The sequence below is a fragment of the Homo sapiens genome, chromosome 1 (assembly GCF_000001405.40).
Source record: "Homo sapiens chromosome 1, GRCh38.p14 Primary Assembly".
Taxonomy (NCBI): Eukaryota; Metazoa; Chordata; class Mammalia; order Primates; family Hominidae; genus Homo; species Homo sapiens.
The window spans coordinates 144,219,386-144,243,592 of NC_000001.11; the positions used below are offsets into that span (position 1 = coordinate 144,219,386).

At 44.5% G+C, this 24,207-nt stretch overlaps 1 long non-coding RNA gene across 7 annotated transcripts in view; it reads right to left on the bottom strand.

Annotated features, from left to right (window-relative positions):
* Nucleotides 1-24,207, bottom strand: part of LINC02802 (long intergenic non-protein coding RNA 2802) — a 42,825-nt gene that overhangs the window by 11,913 nt on the left and 6,705 nt on the right. For 2 of the 7 annotated variants that reach the window (NR_199620.1, NR_199619.1), the window contains one exon: nt 5,528-7,994. The exons of 4 other annotated variants lie outside the window; for them this stretch is intronic. This is a non-coding gene — a long non-coding RNA (long intergenic non-protein coding RNA 2802). Of the gene's footprint in view, nt 1-5,527; nt 7,995-24,207 lie in introns of those variants that run through there. One more of the 7 variants, NR_199618.1, reaches the window with a different exon arrangement.

The window sequence follows — 24,207 nt, forward strand, 5'->3', positions numbered from 1 at the left end:
GCCAAGCACCTTTGATAGCAAGGGTAAGCTCGCTATCCTTTGCTGGAGATGGGCACGGAGAGGGCATGTGAAGAGTGCCAGACCAGGCGTTGACAAACTATGGCTCATGAGAAGAATGGAGTGTACATTTTTAAAGGGTCATCTCTCTCTCTCTCTCACACACACACACACACACACACACACACACACACACACACACACACACAGAATATGCTGCAGAGATCATATGTGACCTGACAAGCCTAAAATACTCACTATCTGGTCCTTTATAGGAAATGCTTACTGACCTCTGGTCTAAACACTGAGAGGTAAGGGACCTCTGCTGCACCGCCCTGGAGGGATTTTTGATCCCTAAATAAGAAGAGGTGAGGAGGAAGCCTGCCCTTCCTCCTGGCCTGAATGTGCTTCTGAGAGGCAGTCAAGCCTGGAACTGTGGCAGCCGGCTTGTGACCATGAAGAAACCAGCCCAAGAAGAAAGGCCAACCTGCCAAGGAGGGAACAGGAGCCTGGGGCCTCGAGGACTTTGCTGAGCCTTCGTGTGACCCTGGAGCCACCTTCCTCTGGAGTTCTTGTGATGGCAGATAATTCAATGTTGTCATTGTTCAAGCCAGGGGTGGGCAAACTTTTTCCATAAAGGGCCACATGGAAAACATTTTAGGCTCTGTGTGGGCCATGAGATCTCTGTTGGCACTACAACCCTAAAAACAACCATAGACAATGTGTAAATGAATGGGTACACCTATGTTCCAATAAAACTTTATTTATAAAAATAGATGGTGGGCTGAATTTGGCCCTGAGGGCCAGAGTTTGCTGCGTATTTTGTTTGTTTGTTTGTTACTTGCAGCTGACCTATCCTAACTAGTACTCCCTGAAGTCTGCCTCAGCTCAGAAGCGTCCTTGGGTTCCAAGCCACAGGGGCTAAGCTTGAGTGTGGGTGGGGTCTGCAGCAGGGTGGTGGGAGGGATAAGCACATAAAGGCCCACACATTGATCTGCCCTTTCTATGGTCCAGGTCGTGCTTTCCTGCAATATCTTCTCATCATGGGCCTAGCAATCATGATGGGAAGGCCTCACTTTAAGAGAATGCTTTCAGCATTTCCAGGCAGTCCCTGCTTGCCCTCAACACTACATGTAGGCCTCAGCCTCCACACCTAGCATGTTTGTTAAGCAAGACTAAGCCACATGAAGCAACAGGGCAAGGGGAGGGCCCTTGTGTTCTCAGGGTCCCACGGCAGAAGTGTGGTTCCGGGAGAAATGGGGGAGTGTGCCCTTCCCTGAACAAGCATATTCCCTCAGTGTGGAGGAGCCCCTCCAAAATTTACAAGTGCTGTGATGACACGATGCTCATTCAGACCATCAGCTGCAGACAGATTGCAGAAATATGTAAGGGCTCTGTCCTTGGAGGTAGGATCTGGTTGCTCCTTGTTCCCTAAGCTTGGCCCTGAAGGGAGGGCAGGATTCCAGCCAGAGTGAATGAAGAGTGAGGCTTTGGGGAAGGGCTCGGATTGCCTCTCGTGCTTGTGTTCAGATTCCTGCTGATTGGTTGTTCCCCAGGGAGACGAGGCTTCGAGGCCAGGTCTCTGCTCTGAGTTAACTTCACCACCCTGCACCTTGGTGGCAGTAAGAGAGCGACCTCAAAGGGCCGCTGAGAGAATTGAGGTGGATGCCTGTACAGCTCTAGTTATGGCACCCATTCCGGCCCCTGGCAAGCTCTTACTACGGTTGCAGGTGTAATTTCCAGTCTCTGCCTCCAGGGATTGCTGCTGAGCACAGACACGTTTCTCTGCTCACAGAGTGAGGCCGCCAAGATGATTCTCAGATCTCTGGTTCTGTATACAGCCCAGATAGCCTGTGAAAGGGGGAATGATAACCCCCAAAGATGTCCACGTCCTAACCTCCAGAACTAGTGAATGGGATGTTGGCAGAAGAGACTCTGTGGATGAGATTACTTCAAAGATTTGCGACGGGGAGACTATCGTGGGTTATCTGTGTGGATACGCAATGTAATCACAAAGTGTCCTTATAGATGAAGAGGGAGGCAGAGGAGATTCGACTACAGAAGAGAAGGTGATGCTACCGTGGAGGCAGAGATTGGAGTGATGTGCCCACAATTCACAATGCCAGCAGCCACCAAAGAGGCAAGGAATGGATTCTCCTCTAGGGCTTTTACCAAGGGTCCTGGCAACACCTCAGTTTTAGTCCAGGAAGACTCGTTTTGGATTTGTGACCTCCAGAACTATGAGAGAATACATCTGTGTTGTTTGAAGCTGCCAGGTTTGCAGTAGTGTGTTAGAGCAGCGTGGAAAATCCATTGAGTCCCATTGCCCTGCTTTTTATGCCTTGATGCCTTGTACAAAAGCAGAAAATGGTATGGATGGAATGGGAGGTCATTATGTTAAGTGAAACAAGCCAGGCACAGAAAGACACACATTGCGTGTTCTCACTGATTTGTGGGATCTAAAAATCAAAACAGTTCAACTCATGGAGCTAGAGAGCAGAAAGGTGGTTACCAGAGGCTGGGAAGAGGAGTGGGGGGCTGAGGGCAGGTGGGGATGATGTTAGAAAGAATGAATAAGATATACTGTTTGATCACACAGCAGGATGACTGTAGTCATTAATAATTGTACATTTACAAATAACTAAAAGACTGTAATTAGATTGTTGGTATTAGAAAGGATAAATGTGCCGGGTGCAGTGGCTCAGGCCTGTAATCCCAGCACTTTGGGAGGCCGAAGTGGGCGGATCATGAGGTCAGGAGATCGAGAGCATCCCCGTGAACACTGTGAAACCCCATCTCTACTAAAAATACAAAAAAAATTAGCCTGGCATGGTGGCGGGCACCTGTAGTCCCAGCTGCTCAAGAGGCTGAGGCAGGAGAATGGCATGAACCTGGGGGGCGGAGCTTGCAGTGAGCAGAGATCACGCCATTGCACTCCAGCCTGGGTAACAGAGCTGGACTCCATCTCAAAAAAAAAAAAAAAGAAAGAAAGAAAGGATAAATGCTTCAGGGATGGACACCTCATTCTCCATGATGTGCTTATTTCACAGTGCATGTCTGTATCAAAACATCTCATGTACCTCACATATATATGCACCTAATGTGTACCCAGAAAAAAATGAAAAAGAGCATAAAAGAAAAAAAAAAAAAAAAACAAAAGCAGAAAAGAGGGCAAATGAGAGTCGGGGACTGTGATCTCATTTTGCCCAGGATGAAGCTGGGTGACCCGGGTACAGAGCAAGCCCCTTGGCTTCTTGAGCTCCCATGTGCAGAGTGAGGGGCGGATGCAGGGGCAGGGTGTGACTTTGATGAACATTCCCTCCAGGTGGCTCTGCCCTCGGCCCCCTCTCAGGATTGTTTGTAGCTCTTTGCCTCTTCTTGGCCATTTGGAGTTTTCAGGGGCCCTACTAGGTCCTCTTGACTTCTCACTTTGCTCTCCTTGGTGGTCTAATTCATGGCCAAGGGCCCACCTGCCGTCCAGACACTGCTTTTCAACCTGACCTCTCAGCTCCAGGCTGGTTATTTCCAACAGCCTACTTGGGTGTCTCAAAGGCACTTTACACTCAATGTGTCCAACACTGAACTCAAGGCTCCCGGCATCGCCATTCAGTTATCCCTCCACATTTCCAACCCTATGGATTGCACTAGCGTCTGTCCATTATGCAGGCCAGGCTGCAAAGGCTGTCTCAACGCTGCCCTTATGCTGTCGGGGCTTAGAACATGACACCCCAAAGCGTGGTGCCTCAGCCTGAGTATTTTGAACTGAAGGACATTGGAAGGAACTCAGAAGCAAGGTCTTTCCAACCTCCTCAGACCCTCTCTTCTGCTTGCCTTCATCCTCCAAAGTGAGTCACAGAAACCAGAATTTATCTTCCTCAAGATGGGTCATAGAACCTAGAAACCCTCCTGCTAAAGCAAACCATAAAACCTAGAAAGGTCACTCTCTATCTTCTCCTTCTCCTTTGAAAACTCTCATTTCAGAAAGGGTCCCGCCCCATACCCAGGAGGAATGGAGGCTACACAGAGAGGCTGAGAAGAATCTGAGCAGACAGTTTTGCTGGGTCCCCTTTCAGTCTGTTCCCAGTAGGTCATACCCGTTTGTCCAATCACATTTCTATCTGGCTGTCCATTCTTCATCTAATCTAAGCATAAAAATTAACAGTTTTCCCTGGGCCTTTGGGTTGTCATTTCTGAAGCCTCCCATGTCACATAAAACTTGGATTAAATAAATTTGCTCTGTTTTTCTCTTGTTAATGTGTCTTTTGTTATAGGAGTGTTGGCCGTGACCCTTAAGATGGATAAGTAAAGGACTCACACCTTCACAGCTCTACAGCCCCATCTCCAATAAGTAGCCACACCTGCCACTTCTACCCACAAATACCTGGATTCCGCTCATCTCTTCCCATTGTCATTCCTACCACTCAATTCCCTGTCACCATCATCTCCTGATGGGTCTTCTGGAGCAGCTTCCTCACTCATCTCTCCAGTTCATCCCTTGCTTCTACCAGTCTATCCTTGCTACGGTAAAACGGGCATTTGAGAAAGGCAATTACACGGTTACCCCTCCCCTGCTCAGCACTCTCCAATTTGATGGACACCAAAATCCTTGCCTTGGTCCCCTTGGTCCTGCGTGCCCTCCTCTCTGGCCTCATCTCAAGCCACTGCCCTCGTGCTGCACTCTTCCTCTGTAATCCACACTGCTGGCTTCTTTTCCTTGAATGTGCTATGCTCTCTCCTGCTGCAGGAGGGCCTTGCACTTGCTGCTTCCTCTTCTTTCTTCTAGTGAATTCCTATTCCTCCTTCAGCTCTCCATTCAAGCCAGTGCCTCAGGGAAGTCTTCCCTCACCTCTAGACCAGGTCTGGTGTCCCTGCCATGAAGCCTCACAACACCATCCAGCTTTCCTTCCTTGCATCTGTCATAGCTTTTGATCATACAATGATGTGTGGGACTTTCTGAATAGTGGTCCCTCTTTACCAATTAACTGTGAGCCTCAAGAGAAAGGAATAATGTCTGTTTGCTCCTCCTCTGTATCCCTAGTGGTGGTAGAAGAGGAGATCAATAATTATCCTCAAATGAACTAAAATGAATGGATGCTTAGATTTTTTTTTTTTTTTTTTTTGAGACAGGGTCTTGCTCTGTTGCCCAGATGTGATGATCATGGTTCACTGCAGCCTCAACCCCTGGGGCTCAAGTGATCCTCCCACCTCAGCCTCCCAGGTAGCTGGAACTACATGCATCCACCTCTATGCCTGGCTAATTTTTGTATTTTATTTTATTTTATTTTTTTAGAGATGGGCTATTTTTACGTTGCCCAGACTCGTCTCGAACACCTGGGCTAAAGCAATCTGCCCACCTCAGCCTCCCAAAGTACTGGGATTACAGGCAGGAGCCACTGTGTCTGGCCCAATGCTTAAGATCTTTTGAGACAAAAAGGAGGAAGTGGGAGATAGTTTCAATACCACAGGAAGCTCAGAAAAAAAAACACCCCCCAACCCCCCCAAAAAACACACATGTATTTATTTGATATTTGGCTGTGCAGGTTAAAAAGTTATTTATTTATTTATTTGCTTTTGGAAAAACTCGAGTCAGCTTGATGAGGTCACTTTTTCCTGCTACTCCTTCTTATTTGGGGAGTAAAGGGACTTCCATGATCTGGATGGATGATTGTGATGAGGAGGTTACCGGGATTGCCCTGAGAGAATGGACTGTGAGCTTTCAGGGATGGAAGCTGCATCTTCATCTCTATAATCCCTTGTTTGGCACAGTGTCAGCCTGAGAAGATGCTTGGCGACAAATATGAATTATGGCACACACTGTTAATTTCTTACCCATGAGCAGTTCCTTTGCTTGCTAACAGAAAATCCTGATTTTGCTTGGATAAACAAAGTGTCCAGTGTCAGGTGATGACTCAAGGTTGGTTTAAGCCAGGCTGGGGCCTTTTGTTCCTTTTTGCCTGATACTTGAAAGAGTTTACAGTAGGGACTGTCCTGTGGTCCACTTCTGCATAATGAGACATAAGGAGAAGTCTGCTGTGTCCTTCTAAGAAGATTTTCTTCACTGGTTAAAGGCGAGAGACACATCAAGAAAAGCCCCCCTTGACATAGCTTCCTCCATCTTGTTCCTGGAGTCTGAACTTGGTCATGATGGCTGGAGCTATAACAGCCATCCTGTGATCATGAAGCTCCAAGGGTATAAAGCAGTAATATTCAGGAAGGTGGAGCCTTTGGACAAAATGATAAAAGGAATCTGGGGCCTCAGCTACATCACTGAGCCTTTTCAAGTCCTTGCCTTCTTCCTCTTAAATCCTGTTATGTTACATAACTAAATGTCTTTATTGCAAAAGCCACAAGTAGTCAGGCTTTCTGTTATTCACAGCTGAAAGCATTTCTCTTATTTTCAAATAATTTCAGACTTATAGAAGAATTAATTGTAAGGCAAAGAACTTTCATGACCTTCACCCACCTTCACCAATTGTTATTTGCCACATTTACTTTCTCCATCTATATAGTCTATTCTACTCTATTATCTTTCCCTGAACCATTTGAAATTCAGTTGCAGGCATCCTTCTCCTCTCCCTTAAACATTCCAGAACATATTCCATCAGAACAAGAAGACTCTAGTGCTCAAGTTCGGGGAATTTGAGGTTGATGCCATACAATCGTGTAGTCCTTGATAATTGTCTAATATACAGTTCACTTAAAATTTCGCCAACAGTCCCAATAATGCCCTTTAAGGCACGTTTCCCCTGATCCAGCTGTCATACCTTTTTAGTCTCCCTTAATCTGGAACAGTTCCTCTGCCTCTTTTTGTCTATCATGGGGTTGACGCCGAAGAACAGTTCAGGTCAGTCCTTGAAGGTCCCTCCATCTGTGTTTGTCTGATGTTTCCTCCAGGGACCGGAATGCTACAGAAGCAATGCTGTGTTCTCAGTGTATCACATCAAGAAACACTTGGCACCCATTTGTCCTATTCCTGGTGTTGTTAACTTTGTTCAGCTCATTAAGGGAGGACCTGCTGGGTTTCTCTACTGTTAAGTTACCACTTTTTCTCTTTGCAATTAATAAACCATATGAGTGGAAGTGCTATGAGACAATGAAAACATACTTTACCTTCCTAAATTTTCACTCAGTGATGATTCTTCCTTGAATAAACTATTATGATCATGTTTGCAAATGGAGTTTTCTATTATTCCCTCTGTATTTATTCATTGGCATTCTACTGTAAGAAAGTCTTCTTCCTTCTTCCCTCCCTCCGTCCCTCCCTCCCTCTCTCCCTCCCTCCCTCTCTTCTTCTTTCTTTTCTTCCTTCCCTTTTCTTTCTTTCTATAGCTATAGGTTCCCATTTTATTCAATAGACTATAATCTACCATTATCATTATTAATTTGGATGCTCACATCATCCTAGATTTGGCCAGTGGAAGCCCCTTGAAGTTGATTGATGTGTCCTTTGACATGTCCCTGTCATTTTTTAAATGCTTCCTTGCTTTCTGGCACCACACAGCACTCTGGGCTCACCTTGTACTTCCCTACCCCAGCCTTAGCATCAGCCATTTCTACAAGGAGCTCTGAGTCCTTTTAGTGAAGGGTGGTATTTATAAACCACAATCTGGATGGTTTGTGGATATTGCACAGCATTCAGTCAGAAGCCATGGGAAATGAAGCGACATTTATTGAAACTTGTATTAGTCAAGCAACTTAATGCTAGGCTAAGTTGCAGTGAGTAATAATCCCTAACCCCAGTGACAGTGCAGAAAAAGAAGGGTTTCATATGTGGAGTGTGATGCATGTCAATGGGAGTTTCCTCCACCTGGTGACTCAGGTATCCAGGCACATTCATCTCTGCGGGTCTGCCATCTTGACACGAGGTCATTGCAGAAGGAGAGAGGGTGTAGAGTCATGCCAGTTCTTAGGTGCTCCTGACAAGGAGATCTGCAGCACTCTGCTCACATTCCTGTTTTCCAGAACTCAGCCAGTACCCAGTGCAACTGCCAAAGAGTCTGGGAAGCATAGAGAGTACACGGATAGCTGGAGATCCCTCATCACTACTGTCATGATATGTTCATTTATGCAATACATATCAATGGGTTCACCCCAGTCAGGCTGACTCCAAGAGGCTAAGATGACTTCACCTTGGGTGGTTTGCAGCTGGGAAAGAAAGGCAAGTCGGCACCGATCGAACAGATCATTCACTTCAGTGGGCTGTCGAGCTGTGCTAGAGGCAGGTGCAGTGTGCTGCAGAAATACAGATGGTGACTACTACCCTGGAGTCTTGGGGAGATCCTGGTGTGCATTGGTGTGGGGTTGGAAAGGTGAGTTGGCACTCACCCCCTTCAAGAAGAAGTGGGAAGGACATTTCAGACAGGGGCAAGTGCAAACGCACAGGGCCTGAAAGAACTAGGCTGGGAGAAGAGGATGGCATTGGAATGGGTGGGAGAGGGGTCTGCTGGGGAAAGCTGGGGAGGCAAGAGACGAGGCTGGACAAGCAGATTGTGAAGGGCCACACTGAGGAGCTGGGGATTAGTACATTAATTTTTATTAATTGGATTAATGATTAATAATGTGGGTGGCAGGGAATCATAGGGAGTGTGAAGAACACTGTGGTTGTGTTTTAGGAGGATTGCCTTGGTGGTAGAGCGTTGGATGGAGGAGATAGGAGTGGGGGTGAACACATCAACACAGAGACCTGCCCAAAGGCTCTGGCAGCCATGCAAGCAAAAAGCGTCGAGGACCTCAATTAGGAGGTAGCACTGGGGATGGATAGAAGGGGTTGGCTGGTGGAGCCATTTTGAGATAATGAATCAATAATAGCTTCCATCTATTGTGGATTGTCAAGATGTATTATTGGCTCACAATCCTTCCTGGCCTTTCCACATTCCTGCGACTTCCCTGTGGACAGGACAGAGCAGATTTCTTGCTGTGCACATGACCAGCTTTGGCTAGAGATGCATGAGCAGAGTTAGTGCATGCCTGGTCTGACTGGAGGCTCTAACTGAATGTGGTGTTGGGTGGCAGCACTGACCCTACCCCTGCACAATGAGAAGAGCAAGCTCCGGGGAACCACTGGCCTGTGAATGAGACACACAGAAGCAAACAGAGCCTGGCCCCCAGTCCGAGGCAAGGCTTCCCAGCTCACTGCAAATTATTAGCAAGAAATAAACACTTGTTTTGAGCTGCTGAGCCCCTGGGGCTGTGTGTTATGCAGCAATGCTGTAAAAACACTTGACCAATACAGGGACTTGCCCTTTCGTAAGTACAGCATCTCATTTACCCATGATATCTCTTCATAGTAAGGATTAGGGATGCCATTTTAAAGATGAGGCAACTGAGGCTTAGAGAGGTTACGTCACTTGCTTAAGGTTCCAGAGCTGGTAAGTCAGAGAAGGATTTGAAGCCAGGACTGTCTCGTAAGCCCATCCTTCTGCCTCTGTCTACACAGTGCTGCCTTTCAAAGGTGGCAAGCTCTTGAGTTAGCCATTTTAACCTGCCAGAAACCTCCTTGCTCCTGAACTGGGGAGAGGGACTGAGCTTTGGATTTCAAGAGGAGGATCTAGGGCCACCATCAGGGGTCCTGTGCTTGAGGTGATGTGGCTGGCTCATCACCTGAGCCTTTCCACCTGCCCCTCCCCATCCCCTCCCCTGTACCCTGCTCCCTGCCCTGTGCCAAGCTGAGCACATTGGCAGGGCTGGTGGCTGGGAGCTCAGCATGTATCCTGTAGCCACAGAACAGAGCTTTTCTTGCTATAATACAGAGTTCAGTCTTGATATCAGCAGTGGGTGCAGCAAAATCCCACCGATTTTCTTATCAAGTTTTCCATTTGTGTCAGTGAAGCAAATCCAATTTAAAATACATCTTCAGAAAAAGGAGGGTCAGTGAGTTCAAACAGAAGAATATTTGCTAACTGGATCAGGAAACCTCGCTCTGTGCTAAACTGTTTGAGGAAAATCCTCTTAGCACAATTTTGCAGGAGCCAGGCATGTGAAAGGATCATTTCCTCACTATCAACCCCTGAGATCAGGGCTCTGGCTGGATGAAACGAGGCAGCTGCTTAGCTGATTAGAGCCTGTGCTGATGAGGCTGAGCTCTGAAAGTCAACATCAGGGAGAGATCTTGGTTTCCAGTAGTTTTTAATTCTTCCCAACTCTTTGTGGGAAAGAGCCTGGGTAAGACAGGACACCAACTACTTGCTCAAAACCACCATCCCCACCAGACAAGCAGCTCATGGAACCCTCCCTGGGAAAGACTGAAGGCTGTGGAGACCTAGCTGCATATTATATTATATTTTGCATTATAAGGTCTTATCGATACAGAGAAAACTCTCAATTTCAAAAAATGATGAGAAACTCAGTCTTTTTTTTTTTTTAGATAGTCTTGCTCTGTCTCATCTCCCAGGCTGGAGTGCAGTGGCACGATCTCAGCTCACTGTAACCTCTGACTCCTGGTTCAAGTTATTCTTCTCCCTCAGCCTCCCGAGTAGCTGGGATTACAGGTGTCTGCCACCTCACCCAGCTAATTTTTGTATTTTTAGTAGAGATGGGGTTTTGCCATGTTGGTCAGGCTGGTTTGAGCTCCTGACCTCAGGTGATCTACCCACCTCAGCCCTGAAAGTGCTGGGATTAAAGGCGTGAGCCACCACACCTGGCCAAAAAATGAAGAGAAACTCAGTGTTTTGGATAACAGGGAGAATGTTTAGTGTTCTAAAAATGTATCCTTTCACATGTAAAGCTTCTTGCCTCTGAGCCTTTGCCAGTGCTGTTCCGTCTGCTAGGGTCGTACTTCCACCCTGCATGCTGGTGAATTCCACTTTGCCCTCCAGCCCAAGCATCATATTTTCCAGACAGTCATTTGCCATGCTGCCCACCAAACAGGCTGTCCCTTGTTCTCATGCCACTGCTGAACATTGTTTATTCCTTGTGCTAGGCAGGGCTCTGTCAGTTGTAACAACTGAAACTCCACTTAGACATGTTTCAGCTGAAGGGTGACTTATTGATTTTTATAACTGCAAAGACCATGGTATGCCTGAATTTGAAGGTTCAAGTAAGTTATTTTCTCTCTCTCTCTCCTCTTCCTCTCCTCCTTCTCATTTTCCTTCTCTTTTTCTTTCCTCTCCTCCTTCCCTCCGTTCTTCTTTTCCTTCTTTTTCTCTTTCTCCCTCTCTCCTTACTTTTTTCTCTTTCTCTCCTTTTAATTTGCTCTATTCTCTATATGGGTCTCGTTCCTTCTACTGCAAATAAGGAAAATGACCACCTGGAAACCCAAAAGGCCCACCACATCCCAGCAGAGCCACCCCAGCTGAAAGAAACCCAGCTTCTCTCTCCAGCTTCTACACATCAATCCAGGCCAGAACTCCATCTGACCCTTGTGAGACATGCTTCCACACCTCAGTGGACCACTGAGGCTCGGGAATTCAGCATAATGATGGGCACTTCTGGGGTCATGGGCCTTCCCTGTAGCTAAGGTGACAAAAGGACAGACTGGTCTGGAATGTCCATGCCAGCTGGCTTACATGCCCAGCCATTGATGCTGGCTGCTTTCTGGGAGCTCAGTTGTGCTCTAGACCAGAAAACCTCCATGTGGCCTCTCCACATGACCCTCATTTCTCAGCATGGTGGCTGCGGCCCAACGGGGAGACTCTCATGAGCAAAGTTTCCAAAAGACCAAAGTGGCAGCTGCGAGCCTCCTCATGGCTGAGCCTCAGCCCCCATGCAGCATCAGAGCCACTGCAGTCTTGGCTTCCCAGGAGGCCAGCCCAGAAGCAGCAAGAAAGGGGACCTGGAAACCAGGAGGTTTGGTTCGAGGGAAGGCCCTCTGATATAATTTGGATATTTATCTCCACCCAGATTTCAAGTTAAATTGCAGTCTCCAGTGCTGGAGTTGGGGCATGGTGGGAGTTGTTTTGACCATGGGGGTAGATCCCTCATGGCTTGCTGCTGTCTTTGAGATAGTGAGTTCTTGTGAGATCTGGTTATTTAAAAGTGTGTGGCATGTCCCTCCCCACACCCACCGACTCTCTCTTCCTTGTTCCTGCTTTGGCCACATGATGTGCCTGCTCATGATTGTAAACTTCCTAGGCCTCCTTAGAAGCCAAGCAGATGCCAGCACCATGCTTCTTGTGAAGCCCGCAGAACAATGAGCCAATACAAACTCTTTTCTTTATAAATTAACTTATCTCAGATATTTCTTTATAGCAACGCAAGAATGGCCTGATACGCCATCTTTGGAGACTAGCTAGCACATGGGCCTTCTCCATCTGTAGCTACACTTCTAGAACAGACATGGCTTCCAAGGCCACTGCAGCAGCTGGAGGAAGAGCTCAGGGTCCTGTGGGATGTTCCTCAGGCTCAGATCTGTGGTTCCGCCCACATTCTATTGGCCATAATCTCGCTCCCTAGCCTCCACTTGACAGCAAGGAACCTAAGGGAAGGGATCTGCTGAGGGCAATCTCTGCCACAAGGAGCAAGTGAAAGCAAGTAGAGAGGAAGCCAAGACTGATGCCCAAGTGGGAGAGGTGCTGAGGAGAGAGGTCTTTTTTTTTTTTTTGACAGAGTTCTGAATGTTTCAGAGTAGTCCAAGTGCACCCAAAAGCACAATAATTAAATGAGGGGCAGGAGAGTGGTTTAGAAGAAGATTGTTTTTCTGGATTCAGCTCCAACAAAGTTTGTCCTGCAGGTCTTGGTGCGGTGCCATGGTCCTTCTCGCCAATAATATTCAGCCTGGATACCCCGCTGTGGCTCTACCAGGGAGGAAAATATTTTCCTGCCACTGCCCTGAGCCTCCTGACTGACCCCAGCTGCCTTAGACATCCCAGCTTTTGGGACTACCCCAGACCTCCCTATAACCAGCAATCAGAGGCTGGCACAGCAAGGGTGCTTTGGAACCCTGCCTGGTGCTCCAGGGTGACAGGCAGCACCTGCTGTCATTGGTCAGTGTCTGTGCAGTATTTGCTAGAGTTTTGTGGATCTCAGCCTTGAAATCTGTGTCTTTCTATAGTCAAAGGATCTGAGTTGGGAGAAGGCACCTAGATATGCTCCACCATAGCGTTCTGGTGTTTCCTGTCATCTCTGAAGCCTCTGAGCTCTTATAACAGGGGCTTAAAGATGGTAGCATTGAGATATGAAGGCTTGTAGTTGTTGTCCAGTTCAGGGGACTTTAACTCCAGGTATCTGGAACTTAGAATAAATCCTCATGCCCTCACCATGGCAACAGGGCTCACCTCCTCTGTCTCATACCTCTCCCTCCCTTGGCCACTATTGCTACAGATATCCTGACCCTTTTACCTCTTTATCAAATAAGCCCACTCTGCCCCAGGGCCTTTGCATGGGCTTACTTTCCTCCAAGAATAATTTACTCCTGATATTTGCCTGACTAAATCCTTCTCACCTTTCTGATTGCAAAGAGGCTTCCTTGACAACTCATTCTGAAGCAGCTTTTCCCTCCAGTCTAGCTACTTTCTCTTTCGTTATTCTGTTTGATTTTATTTATAGCACTTAGCACTGTATGACATTGTTTATTTTGAAATTGTTTATTTCTCTCTCCTCAATAATATAAGCCCAAAAAAGACAAGGAATATGTTTTTGATTCTGTTTCTATCCCCGGGCCCTAGAATAGGGTCTGGGAGATAGTTGCAGCAGAATCCCTAGCTGAAATGGCAATCTTGTGCTAACTGGAAAAAAAGAGCTCCCTTGCCCCCATCCCTGTTTTTTTTTTTTTTTTTTTTTTTTTTTTTTTTAGATGGAATCTCCCTCTGTTACCCAGGCTGGAGTGCAGTGGTGTGATTTCGAAGAGAGCCCTTTCTTGATATACTTTGTCATCTTCTGCTAGAAGTTTTTTATACTCATTATACAAACCCACCCTATCTGTTACTTACACACCCTGTATGGCCCTGCTTCCACCCCAGCAAAAATGCTTGTGGAATGAATGAATGGGTTGGTGGAAGTCAGGGGGACTGGAACATCTGAAAACAAATGTCAGTGTGTGTGGCCAGCGTCTGTGCACCTTTCTTGATTGATTGAATCTTCTGTGCATTGATTTCATGGTATTGGGCACAGAATCCCCTTTTTTGCTCATTACCAACAAAGATTTGTCAAGCACCCACTCACTGTGTTCACTTGGGGAATTCAGACATGAACAAGACACAATTTCTTGATTTAAGAAGCTGAGATTCTAGAAGGCCAGGCAGTGATGTGAAAGATGGTGCATTCCAGGGTCATAATGGCTACACTAGGAGCCAGCCCAGGGCTCTCCTGGAGCACAGGACACCTGTTCAGTGCAGAGGACTCAGTAAGTCTTTCTGGAGAAGTGATTGAGCTGGCTCTGCAGGATGGAGAGGTTTGAAAATTGCTAAGTGCTTTGTACAACTTATAAAAATCCACGTTGCCCAGTTTCCAAGCAGTCTCATGTTCAGTAGACAAAAGGCAATTTTCAAACTGAAATTCTTTACTTGCATTTCTATTTCTATTTTCCTTCCTTCCTTTCTTCCTTCCTTCCTTCCTTCTTTCCTTCCCCCACCCCACCCCCTGAGTCTTGTTCTGTTGTCCAGCAGACTGGAGTGCAGTGGTGTGATCTCGGCTCACTGCAACCTCCAACTCCTGGGTTTGAGTAATTCTCCTGCCTCAGCCACCTCTCTATCTTTCTGTAGCTGGGATTACAGACACATGCCACCATGCCTGGCTAACCCAGATGCGGTTTCACCATGTTGGCCAGGCTCTTCTTGAACTCCTGACTTCAAGTGATCCACCTGCCTCTGCCTCCCAAAGTACTGGGATTACAGGTGTGGGCCACCGCGCCCGGCCCTTTACTTGCATTTCTTAAGTTGTGTGAAGTCAGTAGGGATTGTTCTCTAGAATTCCCTTTTACTCTCCTATCCACATTCCCCTAGATTGTAGTTCCCTCACCTCTTTCACACAATCTTACCTGCAAAACTCCACCCACAGCTTTCAATACCTCTCCCACTTCTCTGCTCTTTATTGTGAAGACAAGCACAGTTTCTTCCTTTTGGGACCATTCCTCCCTGCTCTGGCTTTTCAGGTCTAATAATGTATCCATCCTCTATCACAAAAGCCAAGCTAGAATCCTCTTTGGAGCACAGCCCAGGTCAAGAAACTGCATAGATACAGCAGAGGGAGAAACGAGGTTCAGAACACTCATGCATTAACTGTTTTGATCTCATCACAGTTTCTTCCTTTTTTTTTTTTTCTGAGGTGGAGTCTCGCTCTGTCACCCAGGCTGGAGTGCAGTGGTGCCATCTTGGCTCACTGCAACCTCTGCCTCCCACACGCCACCATGCCTGGGTAATTTTTGTATTTTTAGTAGAGACAGAGTTTCACCATGTTGGCGAGGATGGTCTCAATCTCCTGACTTCATGATCTACCTGCCTCGGCCTCCCAAAGTGCTGGGATTACAGGCCTGAGCCATCACACCTGGCTGGTCTCATCACACTTTCTAAACGACTATTATTAACTCATTTCCCAGATGAGAAAACTGAAGCTCAGAAAGATCAAGCGACCTGCCCAATATCCCAAAGCTATTAAGTGCCTATTCTTCCTGCCTGCCATACTTCCCTTCCCTCTGTCTTCCCCTTTGCCTACTTAACTGTGATTCAACCCAAAGAGAAATTTCCCCAGGAAAGCCTTTCCTAAACATCTTGCCTTGGCCAACCTCCCCAACTACTGTACACTTCGATAAGGCTGTGAACTTTCCCTTCACAGCCCTTGTCACATTCGTAATTGTTCATTTCCTTGGATTATTCCTGGGTTAAAGTCTATCTAGACTTTACGCATTTTTTTTTTTTTTTTGAGATGGAGTCTGGCTCTGTCGCCCAGCCTGGAGTGCGGTGGTGTGATCTTGGCTCACTGCAAGCTCCGCTTCCTGGGTTCACGCCATTCTCCTGCCTCAGCCTCCAAAGTAGCTGGGACTATAGGCGCCTGCCACCATGCTCAGCTAATTTTTTGTATTTTTGTAGAGAGGGAGTTTCACTGTGTTAGCCGGGATGATCTCAATCTCCTGACCTCATGATCCACCCGCCTCAGCCTCCCAGAGTGCTGCGATTATAGGCATGAGCCACTCTGCACAGCCTAGACTTCAAGCTTTTAGAATAGCGTCTCTCTCTCTCTCTCTCTCTCTCTCTCTCTCTCTCTCTTTCTCTGTCTCCCTCCCATTGTATAACCAGTGAGTAAAACAACATCTGGGACATGTCAGTACTTGCTAAATATTTACTGAATAAAAGAATGAATGACTGAAATTCAAACCCGTGTCTCCAAAATCCAAGTTCTTGTCTGACATCATGACTTGTTGTTCTCCAGGAGAACAGGAGACGTCTCTCTCTGTCTCCTAGGCTGAGATTGCAGTGGTGCAATCTCAGTTCACTGTACCCTCTGCCTCCTGGGCCCAAGTGATCCTCCCACCTCAGTCTCCCAAGTAGCTGAGATCATAGGCATGGACCACCATGCCTGGCTAATTTTTGTATTTTTAGTAGAGACAGGGTTTCGCCATGTTGGCCAGGCTGGTCTTGAGCTCCTGGCCTCAAGTGATCCACCTGCCTTGGCCTCCCCAAGTGCTAAGATTACAGGCACGAGCCACCATGCACAGCCATGCATATCTCCTTTATGTAACTTAACAACATCTGCAACGTTTGTTTGTGTGAGTTTTTTTATTCTGCCTGCATTTGTGTATGTGAGTCTTTTCCTATGGATTTTTCCCACCATGGCTGTAAGCACCATGAGAGTGAGGAAAATAGCTGTTTTGCTTTATCATATTTTCTCTGGTGCCTAACAAAGTACCTGGAACACAAGAGAGTAACTAATGGGATAAATACACGCATTAATGGGATTTGTCAATGAAGGGAAAAATTTAGTGCATTAGCTTGAATGAGGAGGTAGGTCCTACTGGCCTCTTGGGTAGAGGCCAGGGCTGCCACTAAACATTCTACAATATACAGGACAGCCTCCCACACCAAAAACTATACAGCTTAAAATGTCGATAGTGCTGAGGTTGAGAAATCCTGGTTTGACATATTATTCCTGTGTTAAAATTAATATATGTAAAACAATTTCCTCAGTTGTTAACATGGCATTTTTATCAAGCAATTTTGTTTTCTCTGAAATATACCTCAGATTGTTTTTAGTTTTTCCAGGGGAAACTATTCATCTTTTACTAGAGAAAAGAATATGGCAAACAGTGAATCTGTGTTTCAGGAAGGGTAACGTCGTTTTTCTTTTAATTTCCCTTTTGAAGCTCTCGGGGTGCTACCAACATCTTGGAAATCTGGATAATTTGAGTATTACTAAGGGAATAGTTTCATTCTACATGCTACAAATGTTTAATCATTTTATTTATCTAAAGCTCCTTTCTTGGCCAGGTGCGGTGGCTCATGCCTGTAATCCCAGCACTTTGGGAGGCTGAGGCAGGTGGATCACCTGAGGTCAGGAGTTGGAGACCAGCCTAGCCAAAATGGCAAAACCCTGTCTCTACTAAAAAAGTATAAAAATTAACTGTGTGTGGTGGTGCGTGCCTGTAATCTCAGCTACTTGGGAGGCTGAGGCAGGAGAATTGCTTGAACCCAGGAGGTGGAGGTTGCAGTGAGCTGAGTTTTCGCCACTGCACTCCATCCTGGGCAACAGAGCAGGACTTCTTCTCAAAATGAATGAATGAATGAAAGGAGAGGGAAAGGAAGCTCCTTTCTCTTCTATTCCCAGTATTGCACCCCAAAAATAAGTAATCCATAAACCCCCAATGTATATTTCTGTTTTCTTAACTAGTTCTGAACAAAATGTTCAGTGTTGGCTGGGCATGGTGGCTCATGCCTGTAATCCTAGCACTTTGGGAGGCTGAGGCTGAGGTCAGGAGTTTGAAACCAGCCTGGCCAATGTGGTGAAACCCCCTCTCTACTAAAAATACAAAAATTAGCTTGGCGTGGTGACGTGTGCCTGTAATCCCAGCTACTCAAGAGGCTGAGGCAGGAGAATCACTTGAATCCTGGAGGCAGAGATTGCAGTGAGCCGAGATCGTTCCACTGCACTCCCGCCTAAAACTCCATCTCAAAAAAAAGCAGGTGTTTTACTCTTAAAATAAGACATTAAAAAAATACTTCTGTTGTCTCCCCTCTTAGAACTGGTAATCTCTTCCTTCTCCACCCTCATCCCCTGCTGTAATTCTATATTGAAATATCATTGTATTTTGTGCCAGATGTCTTTGTATAAAACCAACTTAGTTCTGTGAGAAGAGTTGTACGTTTTTAATATTTTTGTTCTTTTTGTAGACTGCAGGAACAAAAATAGCCTTCCTATAGTAAGGTGGCAATTCACATTAAGAATGTAGATAAGCAAATTTAAACTTTTAAATGTAATTTGTCTAAAAAAATTGAAAAACAGTGTATAGTAAAAATCTCTCCTCCAACCAACGGAAAGTACTTTTATGTAAGATCCTTTAAGTTACTGACTTGAATCTTTACGTAAGGTAATTTGCTAGTATCTATTTTATAAATAATGTTATTTAATACTGTTTTATTTTCTATAGAATCCTGGTGTTTTTCCATGTAAATTTTTAAAAATTCTTAAAGTATGTATCCCTCATTTTCCCCTATAGTTGTTTGCTTCTACTTCTGTTTTTAAGAGATAGCATCTCAGTTGTTTAAGCTGGAATGCAGTAGCATGATCATGGCTTACTGCAACCTTGACTTCTTAGGCTCAAGCAGTCCTCCTGTCTCAGCCTCTAGAGTAGCTGGGATCACAAATGCATGCCACCATACCTGGCTAACTTTTCTTTTCTTTTCTTTTTTATTTTTTTGAGATGGAGTCTCACACTATCACCGGGCTGGAATGCAGTGGCGTGATCTCAGCTCACTGCAACCTCTGCCTCCCAGGTTCAAGTGATTCTCCTGCCTCAACCTTCCAAGTAGCTGGGATTACAGGTGCCCACCACCATGCCCAGTGAATTTTTTGTATTTTTTTTGATAGAGATGGGGTTTCACCATGTTGGCCTGGCTGGTCTCGAACTCTTGACCTTGTGATTTGCCCACCTCGGCCTCCCAAAGTGTTGGGACTACAGGTGTGATCCATCACACCCGGCCAACTTTTCTTTTTTTTTTTTTTTAAGAGACAGGGTCTTGCTCTGTTGTCCAGGTTGGTCTCAATTCCTGGGCCCAAGCAATTCTCCCACCTGGGCCTGCCAAGGTGCTAGTATTATAGGCGTGAGCCACTGCACCCAGCCCTTTATAGTTTCTTTCTTTTTTTTGAGATGAAGTTTCCCTCTGTCACCAGGCTGGAGTGCAGTGGTGCGATCTCGGCTTACTGCAACCTCTGCCTCCCTGGTTCAAGCGACTCTCCTGCCTCAGCCTCCCGAGTAGCTGGGACTACAGATGTGTGCCACCACGCCCTGCTAATTTTTGTAGTTTTAGTAGAGACGGGGTTTCGCCATGTTGGCTAGGCTGGTCTCAATCTTTTGACCTCGTGATCCACCCGCCTCGGCCTCCCAAAGTGCTGGCATTACAAGCGTGAGCCACTGTGCCCAGCCAGCTCTTTATAGTTTAAGAGGAAGGATAAACCTTAAGAGATCACAACACTATATTTGTGTCAGGGATCCACAAGACTGCCTCCATGTTTGGAGATTTGCTAGAAGGACTCATGGGATCAGCTTAGGGTTGTAATGGCTAAGATTTATTACTGTAACATAGTATGGATATATAGTAGAAAGATCTCAATGGCAAAAGACACTGACAGAGTCTGGAAAAATCCATGTACCGGCTTCCTTATGTGCTGTGCCTTCCATGAGGATCACACAGACTACCTTCTTTCCCCCTTAATGAAAATACAACAACCTATGTGACTTCCCAAGAAACACAGGTTTTATCTCGGCTGGGTCACATATGTGTACTCTGCCTAGCATGTGTGAAATTTCCAGACTCACAAAAAGAATAGCAGGATAAGCCACATTATTTCCATAGTCTAGATACAGTAAACCATGATTACCAGTTATGGAACCCTCTTGAAATTCAAGTCCTCAGAAGCCAGCCTAGGACCAACTGTGCAGACAGACAGACCCTCCTTCACAGGATAATATAATAGTCTCAGATCTGCTTTGTTAATTTTTGTTTGCATAGAGTTTTATAATTGGAAGATGTCTCAAATGCTACATATTTCTGTCTAATGGACTTTAGTAAGAGTGTTGTATAGTATACAACATGGAATTATTCTCCATTATAGGCAGGCTGTGATAAGTGTTCTAATGTTTATACAAAAGAACTCTGTAACTTTGAGCAGAGTAAAGAGAGTGTTAACGATACTTTTGACTGCAAATAGTGGAAAAATGTTGTGTTTAACTCTGAAATATGCTTTGCCTGATATTAGTATTTCTATTCTAGCTTTCTCTTGACTAGCGTAAGCATGGTATATATTATTCCATTCTTTTATTTTAACCTGTTTGCATCTTTGTATTTAACTTGTGTTTCTTGAAGGTGATAGTTTTATTTCTCTGATAAAAACATATAAGAAGACAATCACATTAAATGTATATGGTCTAAAACCTCTGCTTTTTAATTGGGGGTATTTAGACCATGTACATTTAATATGATTGTCTTCTTATGTTTTCTATTTATCTCTATCTGTTCCTTGCATTTTTCTTGCATCCCCCACCTGCCAAGATGGGGTCTTGCTCTGTCACCCAAGCTAGAGTGCAGTGGTGTGATCATACCTTACTGCAGCCTTGACCTGCTAGGCTCAAGTGATCTACCTCAGCCTCCCAATAGTGGAGACCACAGTTGTGCACCATCATACCCGGCTACTTTATTTTTTTATATATGGGGTCTCACTATGTTGTCCAGGCTGGTCTCATACTCCTGAGCTCAAGTGAGTCTCCTGCCTTGGCCACCCAGAGTGCTGGGATTACAGGTGTGAGCCATTGCACCTGGTCTTCTTGCATGCTTTTACTTTATTTATTTATTTATTTTTTTTGAGAGAGAGAGTCTCGCTCTGTTGCCAGGCTGGAGTGCAGTGGCGCTATCTTGGTTCACTAGAGTCTCCGCCTCCTGGGTTCAAGCGATTCTCCTGCCTCAGTCTCCTGAGTAGCTGGGATTACAGGTGTGCACCACCACACCCAGCTAATTTTTGTATTTTTAGTAGAGACGGGGTTTCACCATGTTGGCCAAGATGGTCTCGATCTCCTGACTTTGTGATCCGCTTACCTTGGCCTCCCAAAGTGCTGGGATTACAGGCGTGAGCCACCGTGCCCAGCTTACATTATTTATTATGATTCCAGTTTGCCTCTTTTTATTACTTTTACCTATTTTTAAAAATTATTTTTGTGGTTCCTTTAAGATTATAGTGCACATTTAGAGAGGTCAAGTAATATTGTACACTTCATCTATAATAAAAGCATTCCTTCATTTACTTTCTTTTCCTCCCTCCTGCACTTTGTGCTATTGCTGCCATGCATTTGACTTTTACATATGTTATAAACTCTGTAACATTTTGCTGTTTTTTTATTAAACATGTATCTCTTAGAGATTTAAATAATAAAAAATTTAAAAGATGTTTGCTCATATAGTTACCACTTTGGTGCTCTTTATTCCTTCGTATTGATCCAGATTTTCATCTGACATCATTTTGTTTCTGAAGAATATCCTTTAACATTTCTTGCAGTGAAGGTCTCCTGGTGATGAATTATTTCATTATTTATGTTTCTGGTGTGTCTTTATTTCACCTTCATTTTTGAAAGATATTTTTGCTAGGCATAGAATTCTAGTTGGCCTTTTTTCTTCTAGAACTTTAGAGATGTACCGCTGTCTTCTCACTTGCATTGTTTCTCAAAAGAAATCTGATGTTGTTCTTATCTTTGTTCTTCTATAGGTAACATGTCTTTTTATACACCTGCTATTAATAATGTTTCCTTGATTTTGAACAATTTGATTATGTTATCCCTTAGTGTAATTTTCTTCATGTTTCTTGTGCTTGGGGTTTGCTGAGTTTCTTGGATCCGTGAGTTAATAGGTCTTGTTATGGCTAGAACATTTTCAGCAGTTGTTTCTTCAAGTATTTTTTTTCTCTTTCTTTTTTTTCTCCTTTGGGGACTCCAGTTACCTGCATATTATTAGGCCATTTGAAGTTGCCTGACTGCTCACTGATGCTTTTTAAAAATCACTTTTTAACATTTTTTTTTCTTTTTGTACTTTAGCTAGTGTCTGTTCTTGTATCTTCAAGTTTGCTAATCTTTTCTTCTGCAGTTTCTAATCTGCCTTAGTTCATCCAATGTAATTTTCATCTCAAATGTTTTTGTCTTTGAAAGTTTGATTTTGGCTTTTCTTGTTTATCTCCCATGTCTCTATTTAATGTTTTGATTATATGAGATACATGTATAAAAACAGTTTTAATGTCCTCCTCTGCTAATTTTAACATCTATTTAAGTTCTGGGTCAGTTTTGATTGATTATTTTCAGTTTGCATCATGATTGTCTGCTGCTTTTTATGCCTGGTAATCCTTATTTAGTTGTAAAATTTACCGACAAAAGCAAAGTGACAAAAGGAGATAGGAAATATCATGAAAACAATTTCTCCAAAAAAAAAAAAACTTATGATGCCTAATCCCCTGAATAAAGACATTTAAGCCTTTCTTGCTTCATATTTAGACAAAAATCTTCCTGCTTATGTTCCTATTTCATCTCTGAAAACAGTGTAAGCAACCAGTTGTCCGAGGCACCATTCTTGGACAGTAATAATGTGCTGTCCTTCGTATATGAAGATGTAATTACTGTAGTAGCAACAAAAACCTAAGCTTTTGGATTGGATTCTGTTTTGGTTTTATTTTCTTCTACCACTACAATAAATGACACATAATCTTTCACTCTTAACAATAAATGGTGCATAATTTTAAGACAATTATGTGGAATTCAGAGAGAAATTCATGCTCATGGAACACGATTTATATTCTGTGAAGTATTAACAATGACTTAATGAATGAACACGTAATCTGATTTAACTAACACCATCTTATTAATTGATATTACATACACAGATCAAAATTTTGTAATATATTGAACAGGACTTAACAGAAAACTACATATATGTAAGTGATTAATAATCTTTCAATACGATGATGAAGCCAACAGAAAACTATAAAAACTATATTTGAGAAAGATGGAAAGTGGTAATAGGAGTATATATGTTCTCCAACTTCTAAATTAGAGAAAATCTTACGAGTCAGCAAGTTAACACTTAATTTGATTATTTTTGATGTTACCAGCCCCAGAAATAGCATTCTGAAACAGATTACAGGCTTTCTTCTTTCTATTTGTTGATACATCAACTACCACAACTCACCTTTCATTTTGTTGCTAAATTTTCAGAATAAAGTGTGTGTGTGTGTTAAAATTCTCCTGCTAAAATAATCTTTCTATGTTCTTACATATTTAGGTTTGGAATATGGTTCATGATGGCAGAATTGTCCAGGTCAATATAGTAAAATACTCTGACCAAGACAGTAGGACCCAGACTCAAGCTGGGGAAGAGATAAATAAGCTCAGTTAAAAAGAAAAAGAGGGCCAGGAATGGTGGCTCACACCTGTAATCCCAGCACTTTGGGAGGCCAAGGCGGGCAGATCACCTGAGGTCGGGAGTTCAAGACCAGGCTGACCAACATGGAGAAACCCTGTCTCTACTAAAAAATACAAAATCAGCTGGGTGTGGTGGTGCATGCCTGTAATCCCAGCTACTCGGGAGGCTGAGGCAGGAGAATCGCATGAACCCGGGAAGTGGAGGTTGCGGTGAGCCAAGATCATGCCACTGCACTCCAGCCTGGGCAACAAGAGCAAGACTGTCTCAAAAAAAAAAAAAAAAAGAAAGAAAGAAAGAAAAAGAAAAAGAGGTTGGGCATAATGTCTCAAGCCTGTAATCTTATCACTTTGGGAGGTCAAGGCAGGAAGATGGCTTGAGCCCAGGAGTTCAAGACTAGCCTGGGCAACACACTGAGAATCCATGTCTACAAAAAACTAAATAACTTAGTGGAGCAGGGTGGTGCACACCTGCAGTCCCAGCTACTTGGCTGGGAGGCTGAAGTGGGCAGATCACTTGAGCCAGAGAGGTTGAGGCTACAGTGAGTCATGTTTCTACAACTGCACTTCAACCTGGGCTACAGAGCGAAATCTTGCCTTAAAAAAGAAAGAAAAGAAAAAGAAAAAAGAGAAGAAGAAAAGAAGAAAGAAAAGAAACTTGCTGCATAGACATGACC